The 19936-nt window shown below is 42.2% G+C and overlaps 1 long non-coding RNA gene across 1 annotated transcript, besides 1 other annotated feature; it reads left to right on the forward strand.

Moving 5' to 3' along the window:
* The first annotated feature begins 1217 nt into the window (after positions 1-1217).
* Positions 1218-19382, forward strand: LOC105379330 (uncharacterized). The gene is made up of 3 exons (XR_949591.2): positions 1218-1691; positions 17735-17928; positions 19059-19382. It is a non-coding gene; the product is annotated as an uncharacterized LOC105379330 (long non-coding RNA).
* Positions 9873-10692: an enhancer, noted in NCBI's record as "H3K27ac-H3K4me1 hESC enhancer chr8:24858047-24858866 (GRCh37/hg19 assembly coordinates)". NCBI's record gives its function as "activates a minimal SCP1, AML or CMV promoter by ChIP-STARR-seq in naive H9 embryonic stem cells {active_cell/tissue: H9 hESC(naive)}" and the evidence as "EXISTENCE:reporter gene assay evidence [ECO:0000049][PMID:30033119]".
* Positions 19383-19936: the final 554 nt, after the last annotated feature.

A 19936-nucleotide genomic window follows, 5' to 3' on the forward strand; every position in this document is an offset into this window, starting at 1 on the left:
CTCTAACTCCTGACCTCAGGTGATCCACCCATCTCGGCCTCCCAAAGTGCTGGGATTATAAGTATGAACCACAGTGACTGGCCTCATCTATTTAATTTTAAAAATATATTAGAAATGTTTTTGATGTATGAAGGAAGATATGGTTAGCCAATTACTCCAGCATCATTTATTAAATAGTCTATTATTTCCTAAACAGACTGAAACTGATATTTTTTATCCTATACCAAAATATCAGATACAATAGAGTCTATATTTTTCTTTTCATTCTCTTTTGTGTAACTCTAGAATCTTATATGGTAAGTCCTCACCACTATTTTCCTTTTCCAAAATGCTTTTCTTTGCTTTCTTTTTTTTTTTTTTGAGACAGAGTCTCACTTTGTTGCCCAGGCTGGAGTGCAATGGCAGGATCTTGGCTCACTGCAACCTCCGCCTCCTGGGTTCAAGTAATTCTCCTTGCCTCAGTCTCCTGAGTAGCTGGGATTACAGGCACTTGCCGCCACACCCAGCTAATTTTTGTATTTTTAGTAGAGACAGGGTTTTACCATGTTGGCCAGGCTGGTCTCAAACTCCTGACATCTGGTGATCTGCCTGCCTTGGCCTCCCAAAGTGCTGGGATTACAGGTGTGAGCCACCGCACCCGGCCTCAAAATGTTTTTTATCAGTCTCAAGTGTTTGTTCTTCTAGATGAATTTTAGAAACATTTTTGCCAAGTTAAAAATATTTTGGTAGGTCTTTGATAGTATTGTACTACATTTATCATTTATTTCTTGTAGAATAAACATATTTGAATATTGATATCAATATTGATATTTAGAATTCACATTTTCACTTAACATCAAGAAGCAGGTTTCATAGTATAGCATTTTACCCACACAACAGGTGAATTCCGTCTCCTGGCCAGTATCAACTCAATGACCACAACCAAGGAGGATTTAGCAAGGGGATTTTATTACTTGTAACAAGTAAGAATAGTTCCCAAAGCAGTGTCTCCCCAAGCAGGGGTTGGGGCAGGTGTTATAAGCATAGGGTAATGAGTGATGATCTGATTGGATTTTGTAATGAGGTGATGCTAGGAGGAGTGATCTGATTGGTTCCTGCCATGAGGTGACACCAGAGCTCAATCTGATTGGATCCTGGATCCTGCCATATGGTGTCTGCTTCTTAATTCAGTCCCTGCTTCTCCGTCTAAGCCCTTAGGTTCCACCAGTGGCTGCATACTTGGTTCATCTGGGCATGCTCAGGTAATATGACCTTCAACCTGGGGGTCCATGGCAACTGAAAAACAACTCACAATATTGCTACGTAAAAGTTGAACCAGATTGGTGTGATGCAGTTACAACACAAAGAAGAAGACCGACATGAATACTTGACTCCTGTAGCTTCTGGTATCCTCATCCTCCCAGATCCTGACATTAGGCTGAACATCTGTGCTGGATTTAGAGGTGGTGTATTCTCACCTTTTAAGTAATGGATATTTTAGTGAAAAGGTGGTATCAGGGCCTGCTGTCTAGATGCCATTTTTAGGAAGAAGTGTCAGAAAGTTTTTAAGACTGCAAGGAAAGAGAACACTCTCAGGGGGTTGATACCAACAGGGGTGGAAGTCAAAATGAGGACAAAGTGAGGCCCTGAGCGTCAGAGATCAAGGCCAAGAGGGCATAGCAGAGGGAATCCAGTTCCAGACAGGCTTGCAGGTATGGATATTCTATTATTTCCTGGGAGGAAACACTGGGAGGATTCCCCAGGAGACTGGGGATGTGGTTCTGGAAGGCCAGAGTGATAGTGCATGGGAAAGGCAGGTCTCACTGGAATCCATGAGTTATTATGTCAATAAAGGACTCATCTCCACAACTGGGGGGAGGTCAGCACTATAGTAATATAGGAGGAAAAAAGTTTAAAAAATTAAATTAAAAAAAAAAAAACTGGGGGCAATGCCAGTGCCCAGGGATGGACAGCAGCCAGGAAAGGTGTAGGGAAACTCCAGGCATCCCCAGGACCAGGTCTCGGAGACTTGGATTTGGTCCTAAGTGCTACCGAAGCCCAAAGTGCTCACCCTATAGGTAACCAGAATCAATGCAGACCAAGGAACATGTAGCATTTTAACTCAAGCCAAGTGACTGCTCTGTGGCTGCAAATCACATTAGTGGATGGTGGGGAGCTACTTGTAGGGCTTCTGCCTTTGAATCCATGGTAATATGGAAGCAGAGACTTAGGAGTTTTCAGCACAGAGGTCTACTATCTGCAGAGTAAACACTAATAACACTTCTGAGAGAAATGTAAAATCTTTGTTATTTGTTTAAACTCAAGCATCCTGTGGCTGGATTTACGATATATGAAGAGGCTCTTGCTCACATTGTAATGAGTCTTACAAAGTGCCTGGGATCAAAATATAGGTGATCTGTAATTACCCAAAGTATCATTTTCCCTACTGTGAGCCACAGATGACAGGATGGAGGTAATAAAGTTCCAAGGATTGCATTTTCCCTCTGGACACTGTGGAAATGTCTCATCATGCATTCTGTGAGACCAGGACAAAGGCCTCAAAAAGAATTTTTTTTTTTTAAACAACTCTTTTTTTTCTGATTATAAAAGTTATATATGCCTATTGTAAGAAGACATGGAACTGTAGAGAAGAAAATAAATATTACAGTTTTAACAATTTTTTACTCTAAAATAATAACAGTTCATTCTGGTAGGTTTTAAAAAAATGCACAAACATTATAATCAGAGACATATACATCGCTGGGTCTATCCATCTATCATCTCTATCTATCTAATCTATCATCTATCTATCTGATCTATCATCTATCAACTATCTATCTATCATCTCTATCTAATCTATCATCTATCTGTGTGAGACATTTTCACTTAACATCATATCAAAAGTATTTTTTTAAAAGCGTCAGGGGGCTACTTAGAACTTGAATTCTACAGCGTTGAATTGAATTACATAGGGTCTCCTACAGATACTTGGATAATACTAAACTAATTTCACCACTGTGACCATGGAAAGTGGTAATAAACCCAGATATGTCACTGGCATGCCAAGAAAGTGGCCCCCAGAAATGAATGATGGATAGCCATTGTCTCAGTGCATCTGGAAATAATCTTCTGAGCCTAAAAATAATGGGTCACATTAGCTAAGGCAGAACAGTTATTTGGCTAAATTAAGCTTCAGCTACTATCAAGAGACTCATTCCAAAATGGGATTTTTTTAAGTAATAATAATAGTACCTTATTAATTATTTATAAAGTAATTATATTTGAGCCCCTGCTGTTGCCATTCATCCAAATGATATCAAAACTGAGGGTGAGGGAAGAAGGAGGGGACAGATATCATATTCACATTTTTCCATCAAAGGTAGTATTTTTCCTAGGCTGAAAATACTGAGGGTGGTTCTCAGCAAAGGATGTAACCCAGGATTTTTATATGTTTACATGGATGTGTTTCGTACAGATGGTGTTCCATTGCATGTACTCTGCCATATTTTCTGACATTTTATGGGGCAAAGTAAATGGGATGAAGGCAAGAAAACCTCAGTGCCTCTAATCACAGGACTATATTAGTTAGGACTTCCATGACTGCAGACAGCCAGTGATGTGTGCTATAGGTGAAACTGCTGTTTACTTCTTCTCAGAAGAGACTCAGGACAAAGAAAACATACGATGCCCAAACAAGCCCACTAAATGAAGATTTCATCAGCCCTCTTGTCTAAAGACCCCAGTATTAAAACTCTGGAACACATAAATACCGCACTGAGGCACAAACCAACAAAAGACCAGGCAGCCAGCTTTCTGTGACACAGAAATAAGGCCCTGGAGTCAGAAGTTGGTTTCAGTGTCACACAAATACAAACATCTAATAAAAACTAAGTGAGTGATCATGATGGATTCCTTTGGATGCTTTTAAATTTACTGGCTGTGGGGGATTGGGGATGAGTGAAGCGGTGGCTTGGGGTTGGTTTAAAAGCCTCACATCTAGTGTAGAAAATTCAAGTTAAATCTTGCTGCCCAAGGAGATCACTATTAACATATCGGCATATTTCCTTCCAGACCCGTCAATGCATATGTATATGTTTATATAAAATTTTGTCTACACTGGTTTCATGCTCTGTGTAATATTATATCTTGCTTTTAAATCTGATGTTATACTTTAAAATCATATTTTCAAGTAATTAAACATCCCATGACTCATTTGAAAGGCTGTTTAATACTCTTTCATATGAATCATAGTGTATTTAATGTGTCTCATCATGTCGACTGTGCAGATAGATTCCAGGTTTCTTATTAATATAAATTATATGGCCACAAATATCCCTATACACAAATGTTTGTCCCACATTGTACTATTACTTTAAGATATATCCCTAGACCTTATTTTTTTTTAGTGTCTATGAACAATTTTTAAGCTTATACTCCCTCCAGCACAGTACAAAGGCTTCTAGTTCCCCCCCATCCTCACTAATGTTGAGCATAATGAATATTTACATCTTCGTTATATGATAGCATATATTATTGCTGCTTTAACCTATTTATTGAACAGTTCATCTGATTACTAGTGAGCTAAATAATTTTTTTTTAAATTTCTTGGCCATTGTAGTTTCCTTTTGGAAATTGAGTTTGTGTGTCCTTTCTCTTCTTCTCTTTTGGATTTTTAGTTTAAATTCTATCAATTTCTAATCAAATGTTTCTCCATCATATTTATGATGAAAAACTAACTTTTAAATGGGTGAGTATTTTCCCCTTTTTCATTTATTTTACTGCTTTCACATACAGAAGAATTGCGTCATGCTGAGATAAGATACATCTCTGCGGTTACTTACCTCTCTCTCTTTACCTCTTACACACACACACACACACACACACACACACACACACACAGTGAATCTAATGTTATTTTGTATTACTTTTGCTTTGCTGTTTAACATCTAGAAGTTGCTATTTTCAAATGAGCTGACTCAGTTTCCCACCCTGAAGAAAGCTGTTAGAAATATCTTCCTCTCTCTTATTTCTGTACTTAGTGGAATCATTCACACCCCCCTCCCCTGCCTGTGTGTGCGCATGCACACTTCTAGATTCCTCCCTGCTGGTAGCTTCCAGCAGCCAGCAGATATAGTAATTGTATTAAACCATCTGGGGACAATTTAATACAATGCAGGATTCAGCCATCTCTTCTTTTGTGTGCTTGGTTGAAGATCTGATAGAAGAGATCATTTTTATTCTGGAGAACTAAGAGATTAAGGAAATTTCAATTATTCTAAATTTACAACTAGTCTTCCAAGAGAATTTCCCCCAACCCCTCCCCCGCCACCAAAAAAATCCAGATTTAAGTTTCAAGAATGTTTATGTATTGAAATCCTGTCTTAACTAGTACACTACTGTGTGATCTTTCACGAGGAACCATGTCACCCCTTTAAGCTTTGGTTTCCTCATTTATAAATCTCAACAATAATTCCTACTTTACTTTACTGCCATGATGTTGAAATGAGATAATATTTCCAATGCAGCACCTCAATAAATAGTTGCTCGATAATGTGTATTGAGTTTTAATCTAAGGGAGAGTAAATAAAAGTAATGGCAACTACAAAACTTTAAATTCTAGCCTGGCAAAATTAAAGGTCTTTATTTTTTAGCATATTTTAAGATCATTCCCTAGAGTGTAATTTATTGCCAGTGACTGGCACAAGAACTGGGGAGACTGGAATGGAATGTTTGCCAAATGATTTGACAACTTTTGAAGAAGAAAATTCTTAGAACAATAAAGTCCAGTCAAAAATCAGAATACAAGCAGGAAACCTGGTCTCCTCCCTCCTAGGTTTGGGGTCACTTGCCACAGAAAAATAATAAAGACTAGGATTTATCAAAGGCCAACCCTACACTTGACCCTGTGCTAAGCAGGCAGGATCTCTTTTCATCCTCCCACTAGTCTGTGTGAAGCCAGTACTCTTAGAAACACTCTATCACAGAGGAAAAGAAAGTCTTGCCCAAATCACACAACTAGTAACTGATAAGTGTGGGGGTTCTTTCACCCCAGTCTGATGCTGGTGCTCCTGCTTTTAGCACACAAATTCAGCTGTGCAAGCTGGAGGAGTGTATGGGCCATGTAAGAACTTGTGATCAGACATGAGCACCCCTTCCGAACTTGCCTGGCCTCCCATGAGGTGCTCCTCAGTGGGATTGTTTCCAACGTGTTCGGGAAAGAATTGCTGCTTCCCAAATACCTTCTCCATTTCCTCTTAGGATTCAGAATGCTTTATATTCTAGACTCCAAGCTTTTTTCATTTCAAACTCAGATATGTCTTAAAATGTCACTGTCCCGGTGGAGTTCCTATTTCAAGGCACGTTCCCATTAAAGTCTAAGTGATGGATATCAGATCCTTTCTTAAGGAAAGGTTTGGCTGTGTAAGAGGAAGAGGATGTGGGGAAGTAAGAACCAGGATCAGAGAGGCCAGAGAATTCAAAAAATAAAAAATGTTGAGAATTTCACAAGCTTGCTCTGAAGTGCCCTGATAAAAATGTATAATTTTTTAGATGCATTGGAACCAAATTGGCAATTTGCTGCATAAGAATTAATAGGAAAGAGAAAACCTACTTCTACCTTATTTGAATGCTTTTTATTTTCCCTCTTAATTAAGGGTTAGAGTATACAAAATCCTTCATTAAAATCTTTTGTTTCTTGAAATTGGCATTTTTACTAAAAAATGGAAGTATATAGAAAAAAGAATTTTGTTATTTGAATATTCCCTCCTCTTTTGTGTGCTACCCCTGGTGTCACATAATTTTTATCCCGTAACATTTTCTCTGGAAACTTTCACGATGGAGTACATTGAGCCCCTCATTCTATGTTTAAAAACACAAAATCATCAAATGGCTTTTATATTTAACCACATCTCTAGCCAAAAGCAAATCTGAACAACCTTACTGGCTGTATTATACATTAAACTTGGTTTATATGTTTTCCTCCTCCCATAATCTTACCTAGGCAATAGAAATGAATTATGATTAGGCATTATTAGAATTAGGGTAAAATTTAAGATATCTTTCCGGAGCAAATACGTTGTTTTAGCCAGAGGGAAGATATTACAAGACCCAACGGGACTGGAGGAAGTGATGAGCATGGCTAAACATCTATGAATTATTGGCATGGTGGCTTTATGCTGATCATTTTAATAGAAAAGAAAAACTAAGCAGTGGTCAGGGAACCCATATTTCTTAAATTATGCACATGCCTTTCCTAGTCCCTTTTGGATTTCATAAAGCTGGATGGCTGACAGAAGCTTAGCATTATTGCCTATAAAACTCTGACTCGTTTCAAAAATATAAAAGCACACTGAGGACTAGGCAAATTGCTGCGGAAAAAGTCTGCATTAAAATTCAGGACTCGAAACCCAAATGCCATTTTCCTGGCCTGCCCACTGCAGCTGCCTTGCACAGCCCCCACTTTCCACATCTCCTAGGCGCAGCAATTGCATTTGTTCTGACAAGGAGGCCTCTTAGCTTAGCTCACCTCCTTAACACTGACAAGTGACGACCTGCAGCCAGCTCATTTATGAAGAGAGCTTTTAGATGGATTAAAATGTCACACACTCGGACAGTTTAAATTGAAAGCTAGGGGTGTTTTCCTGAGTGTGAAGCTCCCTACTGCTTAATGAGCCCCCACTCCTCCACTCCACGGGGCAATGGCAAGAGGGGAGACAAAATGACTGAAGGGTCATAAACAATACATCTCAGCATATTCTATGAGCAATACATCTCAGCTGCTGTCTGAGCGGCACACAGACCTACCCTAAGAACTGCTCTGTGTCTGTCTTCCAGCCAGACTGCACATTAGGCAGGACGCTGTCTCCCACATCCTCTTGCCTTCCTGCCTCTCGGCCTACCTGCTACCCCACACTGCCCCCATGTGCCAAGTGGATCGCAAAAGATGGCACTGTGGCAATATTTTTCACTACCCACTTCTCCATGCAACTCTTTCCTTCCTCGAGGCATTTCCAGATGATTAACTTACTAACCTGTAATACTAAAAGAATTCACACTGAAATATCAATGCATTAGGGCATCAATCCTCCCAAAGGGGTGTAGGGGTGTGTGTGTGTGTGTGTGTGTGTGTGTGTGTGTGTGTGTGTGTGTGTGTAGGTAGGTAATAAGAGAGTATCCCAGGCCATAATAGGAAACAGAAGCATTGAACAGAAGCGAAGGCACAGCACGGAGAACTAGGAGCCTTGCATTCTAAGCTTGAACAAGCCCCTTAGCATCTCCAGGTCTCAGTTTCCCACTTGGGAAATGAGACAGCTGAACCAGTCCACAGGTGGGGTCTTCAGGCATATTTCAGGCTAATGAGAGGAGTCATAGAAGCAAGGGGTCCTTCCTGTGTACAGTACCTTTGTCATGACGATGTAGCATTGGTAAATGACATGCATGGCTGCTTCTGACACGGACACTGTATATATTCTGGTGGGGTCCGATTTGCAGCTTGACTGTGTTTTCCTCAAATAGCACATCTGTTAATCAGAACTGCAGCAGGAGAAAGACACCGACGTGCCTCGGACTTGTGCCAGGGAAAGTCCACAGAGAGACCTGAGGTTGGTTGGGCCATTAACAGGTTACAGCCCAAATTCCTCTTCTCCCCTGCCAGAGACATTATCTCATCGGCAGAGTTCGCCAGAGGCTGAAGTTATATCTCATTAAGAGTCTCCTAAGCACTGAGACTCTGCACTGTCACTGACACCTATTTAGTTTATAGTTCTGCTATGTCATTAGGCAACCTTTTCCTAGGGACACAGGAAAGAAGAGGCTACAATTAATTCAAGGCGGAAAGGAACAAAAAGAATGATAGAACCACAGACTGTCCACGTTGGTGTCAGAAAAGGAAAGATCCAAACTTCTATTCTAAAAGAGACCCTAAAAGTATGGGTTGTAAAGGGAATTCCTGGTGCATGTGAGAATGAATGGATGAATGAATGACCCTTTCTTGGCCGGGCATAGAATGAAGGGGGCAATTCAAAGCATTAGAAGACAAGAGGGAATCTTGGAACCTGGTACCCCACCCTAAGAAAAATAAAACAAGTTGAAGAATTAGCGAGAATGTGAATCTGGATAGATATCTTCAAATAAATCCTTGGTGGTCCCTGGGGGTAAATATTTAAGCAAGCTGGGCTAGAAAGTGGCATAATTTAGAAGGAAGCAAGTGGCCCTTATTTATATATAACATTTTTAATTATCTGGCTGACTGATAAGACTTTCAGCCGACAACTAAATAACGAGAAACAGCTACACGTCTCCAGGGCCTTTCTTCTGGAAAAACTTTTCTGGTCCCCTCTTCCCTGAACTGGTGCAGGCGTGCAAAGAAAGCTCCGTGCCACGCCCGGCAGCCTCCATTCTTTGGTAGAACGCAGCGCAGCAATAGCCGCCAAGTCCCCTCCTGGGTACAGTACAGCTCCACAGCGCCCCTGCTGGTGGCTTGGGAAGGGCGCGCAAGCAGAGAAAGCAAGTGTCAGAGCCGGGACTGGCCTCCCAGGGCATCGCCTACAGCTTGTGCTCTGAGAGTCGGGGTCATCATAGCTGCGCTCTTCGATGGACACTAAATGCGGGACATCTGTTTTACACTCACCCTCCCTCCCCGCGTGGCAGGAGACCTACACTCTCCCGCTATGCGCGCTCCGCGGCAGCTGCCGCTGCACCATTCATTCTCTCCTGCAGAAGTTCAATATTGCTGCAAATATCGAGAAAAAAAAAAAAAGCGCTGAGAGGGGGAGGGAGGGAGGGAGGAAGGGAGGGACAGCGAGCCAGCGGCCACTGCAAAGGGGCGAAGGGCAGTCCCGCGGTCAGTAAGGGCCACTGAACTTTCTGCCCACCGGTCATCCGGAGCTGAGGACTGGGACATGGTGGGGTGCGTCGGCGAGGGTCCCCTGACCCTGCACAAACCCAGGGGTGTGGTGTGGATGACCCGGGAAGCCGCACCCAGAGCTGGCGGTATGTCAGGCCATAGAGAAAAAGGGATGTTCCTAGGCTAAAGGAGACATCGGGGCTGGGGATGACATCCCAAAACTCCCAGCGCCGGGGAGCTCAGGCTCGGGCGGTGCCTGGCTCCCCTCCCCGGTTCCCGCCGCAGGAGGCTGCTGAGTCACTCCCGCCTGAGCCACGGCCGCCCCCAGCCAGCCACGCGATTGGCGGGTTAGCCCGGGCGCAGCGCCCTCTTCCCAGCTCCCGCACCCCCAGGGCTTCCCGCAGGCAGAGGGTGGGAGCCCCGGCGAGCGACCAGTTGGGGCTTGGTAGGAACCCCCTAAAAATGCGCCCCACTTGTGCATTCGTGCATGGGCGCATTTTGGGAGTAAACAATACATAACCTTCTTCGCATTCAAAGGGTCTGGACTCAAAAGAGGGCTCAGCCTTGCTCCTCGGGAGCAACCCCTGTTTTAAATCTGGGAAATGGTGATGCCAGTGGGGAAAGGGCTTCTCCGGGCCCGGGGCTCCCGAGCTCCTGGTGCCAGCCGTGTTGCTCTGGCTTTTGTATTTTAACTCCGTGGGCTTCTGTCCCCATCCCCATGTAAGGCCAGTGCCCCCTTCCGCGTTTTGCCGAAAGTATCTTCAATGCCCGTTTAAAAAACTATGTCTGCGATTTCTCCATCTCTGCTCTTTCCCAGTTCCTCTCTTTTCTCTTCTTCAGGCCCCCTCCTGTCCTTCCTCATCCTTTCACTGAGCGGGTTCAGGCCCTAGTTACTACCGCAGGCACCAGCCACACCCGGGGAGATGTGTGCTGTTTTGTGCAAGACGCTGCGGTCACCCAGTCCGGAATTCTGCTGGTCTACACCGAGTGCCGCAACACCACCACCACCTCCGCACACATACGCCCTCCTTGAACCTCTTCCCCATGAATGCTTTGGCTTTTAAGGAACTTTGTGGCGTTTCTGCTCTTTCGGAGGCAGCTGCCCGAGGCAGCTTCCCAAGGCAGAACAGGGACTGACTGCTGAGGTTCCGCGGGGTCGGGGAGGTGGAGAAGCCAGTTCCCAAGTGGCTCGTCGCGGGTGTTAGAGTCCCTCGTTACTAAGGACGCCGCCGCCCGCGCGCCAGGCTTGGGGACCAGGGTGACTCTGCCCTTTCTGGGCGGAATACGGGTGAAGGCTGTCTTTGGGGATCCACAGGTGATCTGTGCCGTTCTCATTGTATTCTCAACTCTCATCCCTTCCAGGTTAGCCCGATCCCTTTAATGCAAGGATCGGTGCCGGGAGGAAAGAGAGCGTGGGCCACTCTGGAACGGAGGCTGGTGTTTTGGGGGAGCGGGGAGAGCCTGTAGCCCACACATCTCCACGGCTCTGGCCCAATTTCTCCACTTTTTCACTTCGATCTAATTGGTCTTCAAGGTTCCCGAGGCTGCGCACCAGTTTTTGATGTCGATTGAACAGGGCTCCAGATTAATCACTTGTCCTCACAGCCCTTTGGAATAAGATTCACTCTCTAGCTGTTTAAAGCTTTTCTTTCGGTTCTAGGAAACAGCTTATTTTTCCGCTTTTCCTATCAGACTTTGACACTGGACTGTAAAGTTTTCCCATGGGTTTTTGCATATCCCTTCGACAGGCTGTATTATTTACAGAATTGGGTAGGGGAAGGCTACTCTGTCAGCTGTGGTTGGTTGCCTTATCTTTGTTCTTGAGAGAATAGCTTGGACTTTTCCACCACACATGAAGATTTTATTTGAAAGCAGAGATACTTGCCCCTGCCAGCTACCATCAGATAAAATTAAATAGAAGGCCATACTTGTATCTCTGGGGTGCATGCTTAGTACTGCAATCATGTAAGTAATGGACATTTGACCATCTTTCCCTTTTAACTCTCACAACTCTGGCAAAACAAGAATAATTTTCTTCATTTTTACAGTGTTAAGATCTGGATTTGAACCCAATCCTATTTTCAAGGCTCTTCTACTATCTCATAAAAGAGTATGGGCATGGAGGCTGAAGAAGCCAAGATTGTTTGGATTATTTTGAATTCCAAGGTTAGGAAATCAAAATTTTTTAGGGTAGATGCAGTTGCAGTTAGAAAGGAGAATAGCACAGAATTTGAAAGCACAGACAGAAATCTTACAGTCTGGGTCAGACCCTGACTCTGCAGCTTACCATCTACTAGAAATTACTTAACCTTCCAAACTTTATTGTTTTATTCTAAAAATGGGGCATAGCAATAACACCCACCTCACAGTTTCACTGAGGGGCTTAAATTAGATGCATCTGCAATGCTTAGCACAGGGGTGGACAGAGGTGCTTAATCAATGATAGATGATGTTCTTATAAATACTAAGATCAAAGAAGAGGAAAATTTGGCTTCTTAAACCAACAACACTTCTATTTCCATTCTTGGCTTCTTCTCCTGTATCCAGACAGGCTGATTTCAGTTTAGGAAAAAGCATACCATGTACTATTTCCCATCCTAACATTTTTATGCAAGTAAAATCAGTTTAAACAAAGAACAGACTTAAAAGAGTAAGTCACAAAACTTGTAGCCTTATAAACTGTGCATGTCGGGGCTTATCCTTTTTGGTGAGGTCATTTGATGTTTGGGAAAGAGTTCTGAAGTCACACAGACCTACCCAGCTTTAGGACTTCACCATGGACTGCTGCGAGCTAGTATAAATTATTTAATCTCTCAAAGCCTCGGGGTTTTTATTTATTCAAGACAAAGATTAATAATATCATCTTTCCAAAGTCACAGTAAGAATTAAGCCATATTATGTATGTAAAAGTGCTTAGCAGAATTCTTGGCACATCACTGTTCCTGAATAAATGAAACTTTATTTTCCTTCTTTCCTTGGTCATGATGAGAATTGACTGGGTTATCTATTGATTATTTTGTGCATGAGCCTGTGATCAATCATTCTTCTTCCACAGATAGAAATGTGCACGCATATTAAGGTTAACAAGATTTGTGGTTGTGAAGTATAATTCTAAAGCCTCACAAGCATGAAGGGTGTGTGGACGTTTTCCTGAGTCATCCTAGGGAACAAAAGGGAGTGGGCAGAGCTAGTTACCAGAGTTGGAAAGGGATGCATCAGTCATTACATTCAGGGGCTGTTAGTTGGTTCCTTTTGCAAATGGGCTGTGAACTGCAGATGTCCCTGGGAGAGAAAATAGAAAATTACTAGCAAATTCCTAAGAGAACCTGGCCTCTTTAAAGAAGAGAAGACACATTGAGCTGGGAGTTGGAGGAGAAATGAGAAATTGAGCCACAGACTCTGAAAGATATCATCTGCCAAGAGGGAGATGAGGCTTTAAAAAGAACTTTAAGGATTTGTACATCTAGTCATGATGCAGTAACTGGTACTGGACTAGTTTTTTAGCTTTAAACAACTAGAAAGCCAGGAGAAAATATTTGAGGCTGGCAGTGGACAACAGACAGCCAGAGATGGTTATTTCTGAGAGAGAAAAACTTACAAGGTGAACCCCCAAATCATCCAGCTCTCTGCTGGAAGAGATTTTTCTAACTGTAGCACAGAGAGCTGAGGTCCAAGCAGGGCTCAAGAGTTGGGCCGAACAGAGAGAGAACAGAGTTTAGCAAAGCTGAAATAGTTGAATCTGCAGGGTGGAGCATCAACAAGGAGGTAGCTTTATAGAGAATACTACCCTAATCCCATATGAGGACCCCTTGTGAGGTCATGACTGCGGACTGGGCTGTAGATGAGCAGGAGACCACCTGGGACTCACAGGTTAGCAAATATTTGTGGGGGAAAAGATACTAGCAATGCTGGGGGAAGAGTTGTGCCCAAAGACTTTGGAATTCTGACCTGGAAAGAATAGAGATTTCAAAAACACTTTATTAACACTCCTGAAATCCAGCTAAGACACCAGAACTGCTTTTGTTTAGCAATAAGGGCTAACCTCTACAGCGGGGATGAGCAAACCTTTTTGTAAAGGGCAATATGTTCAATAATTTTCACTGTGCAGACTATATGGTCTGTACTGCAGCTACTCAACTCTGCTGTTGTAACAGAAAATCAGTCATAAAAAAATACTCAAATTAATAGCATGTCTGTGTTCCAAGACTCATTTCCAATATTTTCAAAAATAGAGAGTAGGCAGGATTGGTCTGAGGGTCAAAACATGCTCGTTCTAGAGTAAGACCTATTCCAGAATTGCAGTAACACAGCCTAAAACGGAGCCTTGACAAATAATTGGGGGGTGGGGAGTACAGAATTTGAAGGCCAAGTCCCATCAAGGTAGAGGAACTTGGGAAATGACTTGATTAAGGTGATCAGCCAGTAATTGAACTGCTTGCTAAACAATAATTAGCACTCTTCAGAGGAAGATAACAGAATTTAGAATTTCTTCAACATACTATTCAAAATCTAGTATTCAATTAAAAAAATCACTAGACAAACAAGAAAGTAAGAAAATATGCTCTGTAGTCAAGAAAGATAGCAGTCAATAATAACCAACCTGATGGCTCAGAGATTGAACTGAGCAGAAAAATATTTTATATCAGCTTTGATAAATATATCAAAAAATTGAATAAAAATGTGTTCAAAGAATGAAAGAAGCTGGTACAGTTGTGCATGCCAGTGCATCCTAGCTAGCCAAGAGGCTGAGACAGAAAGATCTTTTGAGCCCAGGAGTTCAAGACCAGCCTGGGAAACATAGTGAGACCCCATTACTTAAAATTAAAAAAAAAAATTTAATGTAAGAAAAAGCAAGGTCTGAAAATGAAGAAATAGGAAATCTTAGCAGAGAAATGAAAACTGTAATGAAAATAACTATCTCAAAATTCTGGAACTGAAAAGTACATTAACTAAAATGAAAAATCTAACAGCTTATTAGAGATGGCAAGAAAAAAGAATCAGTGAACTTGAAGATGGATTAGCTGAAACTATTCAACCTGAAGAAACAAGAGAAAAGAGACTGAAAAAAAATAAATGCAAACTCAAGGAACCGTGGAACAACACAAATAGTCTAACATACATAATTATAATTAGAAACTTCAGAAAGAAAAGAGAGTCAGATTAGGCAATTTTGAAAAAAAATCCCAAAACTGATTATATTACAGATCCAAGAAGTTTGACAAATACAAAACAGGATAAACATTTTTTAAACTACTCGTAGGCATATTACAGCCAAATTGCGGAAAAATCGAAGATGAAAAAAAAAGTCTTATAGCAGCCAGAGAAGACACACTGCATACGTCGAACCAAGGATAACAATGATCACTGATTTCTTATGAGAAAGTGTCCGGAAGACAACAGAAAGACATCTTTTCAAGTTGGACCCAGTGGCATGTGCCTGGAGTCCCAGCTAGTTGGGAGGCTGAGGCAAGAGGGTCACTTGAGCCTAGAAGGTTGAGGCTGCAGTGAGCTATGATCAAGCCACTGCACTTCAGCCAGGGCAGCAGAGTAAGACACTTTGTCAAAAACAAAAGAAGGAAGGAAGGGAGGGAGGGAGGGAGGGCAGGAGGGAAGGAGGGAGGAAAAGAAAGAAGAAAGAAAGACATCTTTTCAATGCTGAAAAAAAAAGTAAAGTCATAATTATGTGTCCAATGAAAAGATCCTTGGGGGAAAAAAGAGATCAATAAAGACATGTTCTGATAGATGAAATCTGAGACAATTTGTTACTAGCAGACCTGCACTATAAGAAATGGTGAAGATCCAAGGACTAAGGTAAAATGGTACCAGATGGAAGATCTATAGGAGGAACAAAGAAGCTGGAAATGGTAAATAAATGGACAAATATAAAAGAGAACCCAGGTCCAGACATTCTTAGAGAAGCCTCCCTGAAGGTAATTGTTCTTATGCCCTGGCTGGTACAACTGCTGCAGATGGGACGCTAGCCTGTACTGAGTACTTCCTGCGTGATAGGTAGCAGGCTAGACACTATCTATCTAAAAGCTGATTTAATGTACACATCAACACTGTGGTAGAAATTACTATTTCCTACAGCTATGGTCCATAGTTGAAGAATTTGGAAGCAGGTCCTGGTAGGATATTGCTTGAGTCCTTTGGTCCCAGTCCAAGTCAGTTTCATATCTACTCAAGACAGAGAAATTTTAGCACAATCTGATGGCTTCTAGAGTCATCTCAGTATAACCTAGCAAAGGATCTAGAAACTGTGATGGACTATTCATTCCTTAAGCACTTACTATGTGCTAGACATTGCAGTATACACGATTTTATTTTAATGTAGACTTTGTGCACATTGTTTCTTGTTTTTTTGTTTTGTTTTGTTTTTGATTTTGTTTTTGTTTTTGAGACAGAATCTTGCTCTGTTGCCCAGGCTGGAGTGTAGGCTCACTGCAACCTCTGCCGCCCGGGTTCAAGTGATTCTCCTGCCTCAGCCTCCTTCCTGAGTAGCTGGGATCACAGGTGCCCAACACCATGCCTGGCTAATTTTTGTATTTTTAGTAGAGACGGGGTTTCACCATGTTGGCCAGACTGGTCTCGAATTCCTGACCTCGTGATCCATCCAACTTGGCCTCCCAAAGTGCTGGGATTACAGGCATGAGCCACCGCGCCTGGCCCTGGTTTCATTTTTTAATCTCTACAACAAATTTAAACTGGTACAATTATTCCCATTTGACACATGAGGAAACTGAGGTTTTCAGAGGTTAGGTCATATTCTCCTGGTCACACAGCTGGTAATGTTAAAAATCATGTCAGTCTGATACCAAAGCTCGTAACCACTAAATTGTAACATGATCCTAGGATGAGGGGAAAAGAAGAAAAAGTGAAAGTTTACTGCTAATGGATGACAAGGAGGCAAGTAACTGAAAGAATCATCAGACTTTAAATTCATTCTCAGGAAAGCTTGAGGGAGATGACCCCTGATGCGTGTGTGGTAGAAGCTCCAAATTTTACAGAAATGTAGGTTAAAGCCACTGGGGCCTGTGTGAAGGAGAAAAGAGGGATCACACCGAAACTGCTCCAATTAGGAGTGTCTCTACAAGGGCTTAAACTGGTAGTGTCCTTGGTTAAATCTCTGATTATTTTTCATATCCAGTGTTTAAATCATGAATGGAGCCCTCAGGGGTGGCACTGCAGTTAGCAACGCAGGCTTTCCAGGGAAATGTCTTTACTGATTGTTTCCCTGGAAACGGTTAGGCTTCCATTCTGCTGAGTACCCCCCAGCACTCTCCAAGTTCCCTCTGTGTTGGAAGTCTCTGTTTAGAGTGGGAGGAGGAAACATGTATCAGCTGCAACTTTCTAAAATGTTGCACTTTGTTGCAATAAATGCCACTATTTCTGAAGCTGTCACAAATGTTGCAACACTGTCACAATAAATAATCACTATTTCTGAAGCTGTTGCAAAATGTTGTGATATTGTTGCAATAAATATGTTGTTTATGAAACTGTTGAATTTATTAGAAATGTACTTTGGAGGCCGGGCGTGGTGACTCATGCCTGTAATCCCAGCACTTTGGAAGGCCAAGGCGGGCGGATCACGAGGTCAGGAGATCAAGACCAGCCTGGCTAACACGGTGAAACCCCGTCTCTACTAAAAATACAAAAAATTAGCCGGGCATGGTGGCGGGCGCCTGCAGTCCCAGCTACTTGGGAGGCTGAGGCAGGAGGATCCCTTGAACCCGGGAGGCGGAGGTTGCAGTGAGCTGAGATCGCACCACTGCACTCCAGCCTGGGTGACAGAACGAGACTGCTTCTCAAAAAAAAAGAAAAAGAAAAAAGAAAAGGAAAGAAATGTACACTGGAAAAGGGAAAGTGTGTGTTGGGTATTAGGCGTAGCAGAATTCCTTCTTTCCTCCCCAGTGCTATGGAGATATAAAGTTCAAGAACACAACATGCGTGCTTTCGAGGAGCGTATCATTATTCAGGAAGTCAAGACACCAGTGAATGAAAAGAAAACTCACTTTCTGCAATAGCGCAAAAGAGCAGTGAAGATGGTGCTCAGATGAACTGTAAGTGTTCAGATGAGGGAAACCATGGAAGACATCATGGAGGAGGTGAGACTTGTACAGGAGGTGAGAGTGAGCTGTTGGGAAGATATTCAGAATTGAGGGGCAAAGAGACGGGTAGTTTTCATGGGTGGACTTCAGGAGATTTGTGATCCATCTGAATTTACACACTAACATCCATGTATTTGTATATTTTTCTGGAAAGAGCAACCGATTGCATAAAGTTCTCAAGGAGTCTTTAGCAACCTAAGAAGTCAGAAAAAAAAAAAAAAAAAGACAGTACCGTAGAGGCCAGAAAATTATCAACAGCTTTATCATGGGTCTTACAGAAATACACCATCACCTTGGGTTACCTTTTTTTTTTTCTAATTACCTATAAGTAATTTAAAAGTGGATAATTTCAACGTTATGGGGAGGGTCTCAAGGTCAGCAGGGTGGGGCACACTGGGGATAGAGAGGTCTTTTGGCACTGCTATACACTGAGTAGGTGACTGACTGCCTCTTTGGGAGCCCACTGTCTCATAAATTCTTGAATCAGGGAACACTTGGGGTCTGTCATAGGGAACCAGGTGCCCTGATTTGTGAAACGTCAGCTATAGTAATTTCCTGGTATGCATATATAAATAATATTTGACCTCTGTGTGGAAATAAAAAGGTTTTCACCTTGCACTCCTAGACTGTGATGCTCCACAGTCATTGGTCTGCCTATGAAACTTTTTCTTTTTCTCCTTTTTTTTTTTTTTTTCGAGATGGAGTCTCGCTCTGTCACCCAGGCTGGAGCCTCCCGAGTAGCTGGGATTACAGGTGCCTGCCACCACTCCTGGCTAATTTTTCTTGTATTTTTAGTAGAGATGGGGTTTCACCAAGTTGGCCAGACTGGTCTTGAATGCCTGACCTCGTGATCTGCCAGCCTCGGTCTCCCAAAGTGCTGGGATTACAGGTGTGAGCCACCGCACCAGGCCACTTTTTTTGTTTTTCAAAATTTTTGTAGAGACAGGCTCTCACTATGTTGCCGAGGCTGGTTTCAAACTCTTGGCCTCAAGTGATCCTTCCTCCTGGGCTTCCCAAAGTGCTAAGGTTACAAGTGTAGCCACCACAGTGGGCCTAGGAAGCTAATTTAATACAAACCCCATCTCCCTCTCTGCTCACAGCAACCTCATCTTCCATTCCAATTCCAGATTTCTTCTGTTCCTGGTAGAATTGTGAGATGCTGCATCTGCGTTCCAGCTTTCAAGAATATAATCTATCATCTGAAAACTTAAAGTCTTTTTTTAAAAAAATTAGATCAAAGCAGAGAGAAAATGATCTTCAAGTTTCTTTACCAAACTTGGTATGTTCTTTTGGACTGAAAACTGATGGAGTTGGAAGTGACTTTTGTAGTGAAAATGAGGCTGGAGTAATTAATATTGTTCCAGTGTTCTGGTTATGCGCAGGAGTGAATCATGATACCCAAATTACAATGACTCATCTCTTCTGAGAGAATAAATTGTGATTCTATGAAAGTTTTGCTTCACTAGGAATTTTTTGAAGGGTTCTGTTTGTTCTAGTTTAGAAACCTACACAGGCAATATGGGCTTTGCAAAGGTATAAAATTTTCTTAAATAAAACTAAACAAAGATCTATTTTGATTTTCAGCGTTGGATTTTTTTTTTTTCTTGCCTTTCCTTTGCTTCTGGGAGAAAGTATCTTCAGACAGGAAGCTTTGAGCTACTCATAAATTCTCCCTAACACTGCAGAAACATATTTCACTATGAAATGGTGGAGATGACAGTAAGAGCCTCTTGTTTGAGGGGCAAAGCTGAGACATCCTGAATGCTATGGAAGTTTAATCTTCCATGCTGACGCAATCACGGGAATATTGTGCTCCTGGGGTTTTCTTTATTGCCAGCTACTGTCTAATGCCAGGACAAAAGGAATAATTTGATTACAGCCGAGGAAAGCACAGTTTGTTCCTGTTACTTTTAAGTTTCTTTCTGTTTTTCATTTGTTTTGAAATGAGAGATTGAGAACTCAGAATGTATTTGGTACAAAATGAAAGATAACTACTGCCTAGAGC

This window comes from Homo sapiens, chromosome 8 (genome assembly GCF_000001405.40).
Source record: "Homo sapiens chromosome 8, GRCh38.p14 Primary Assembly".
Lineage (NCBI taxonomy): Eukaryota > Metazoa > Chordata > Mammalia > Primates > Hominidae > Homo > Homo sapiens.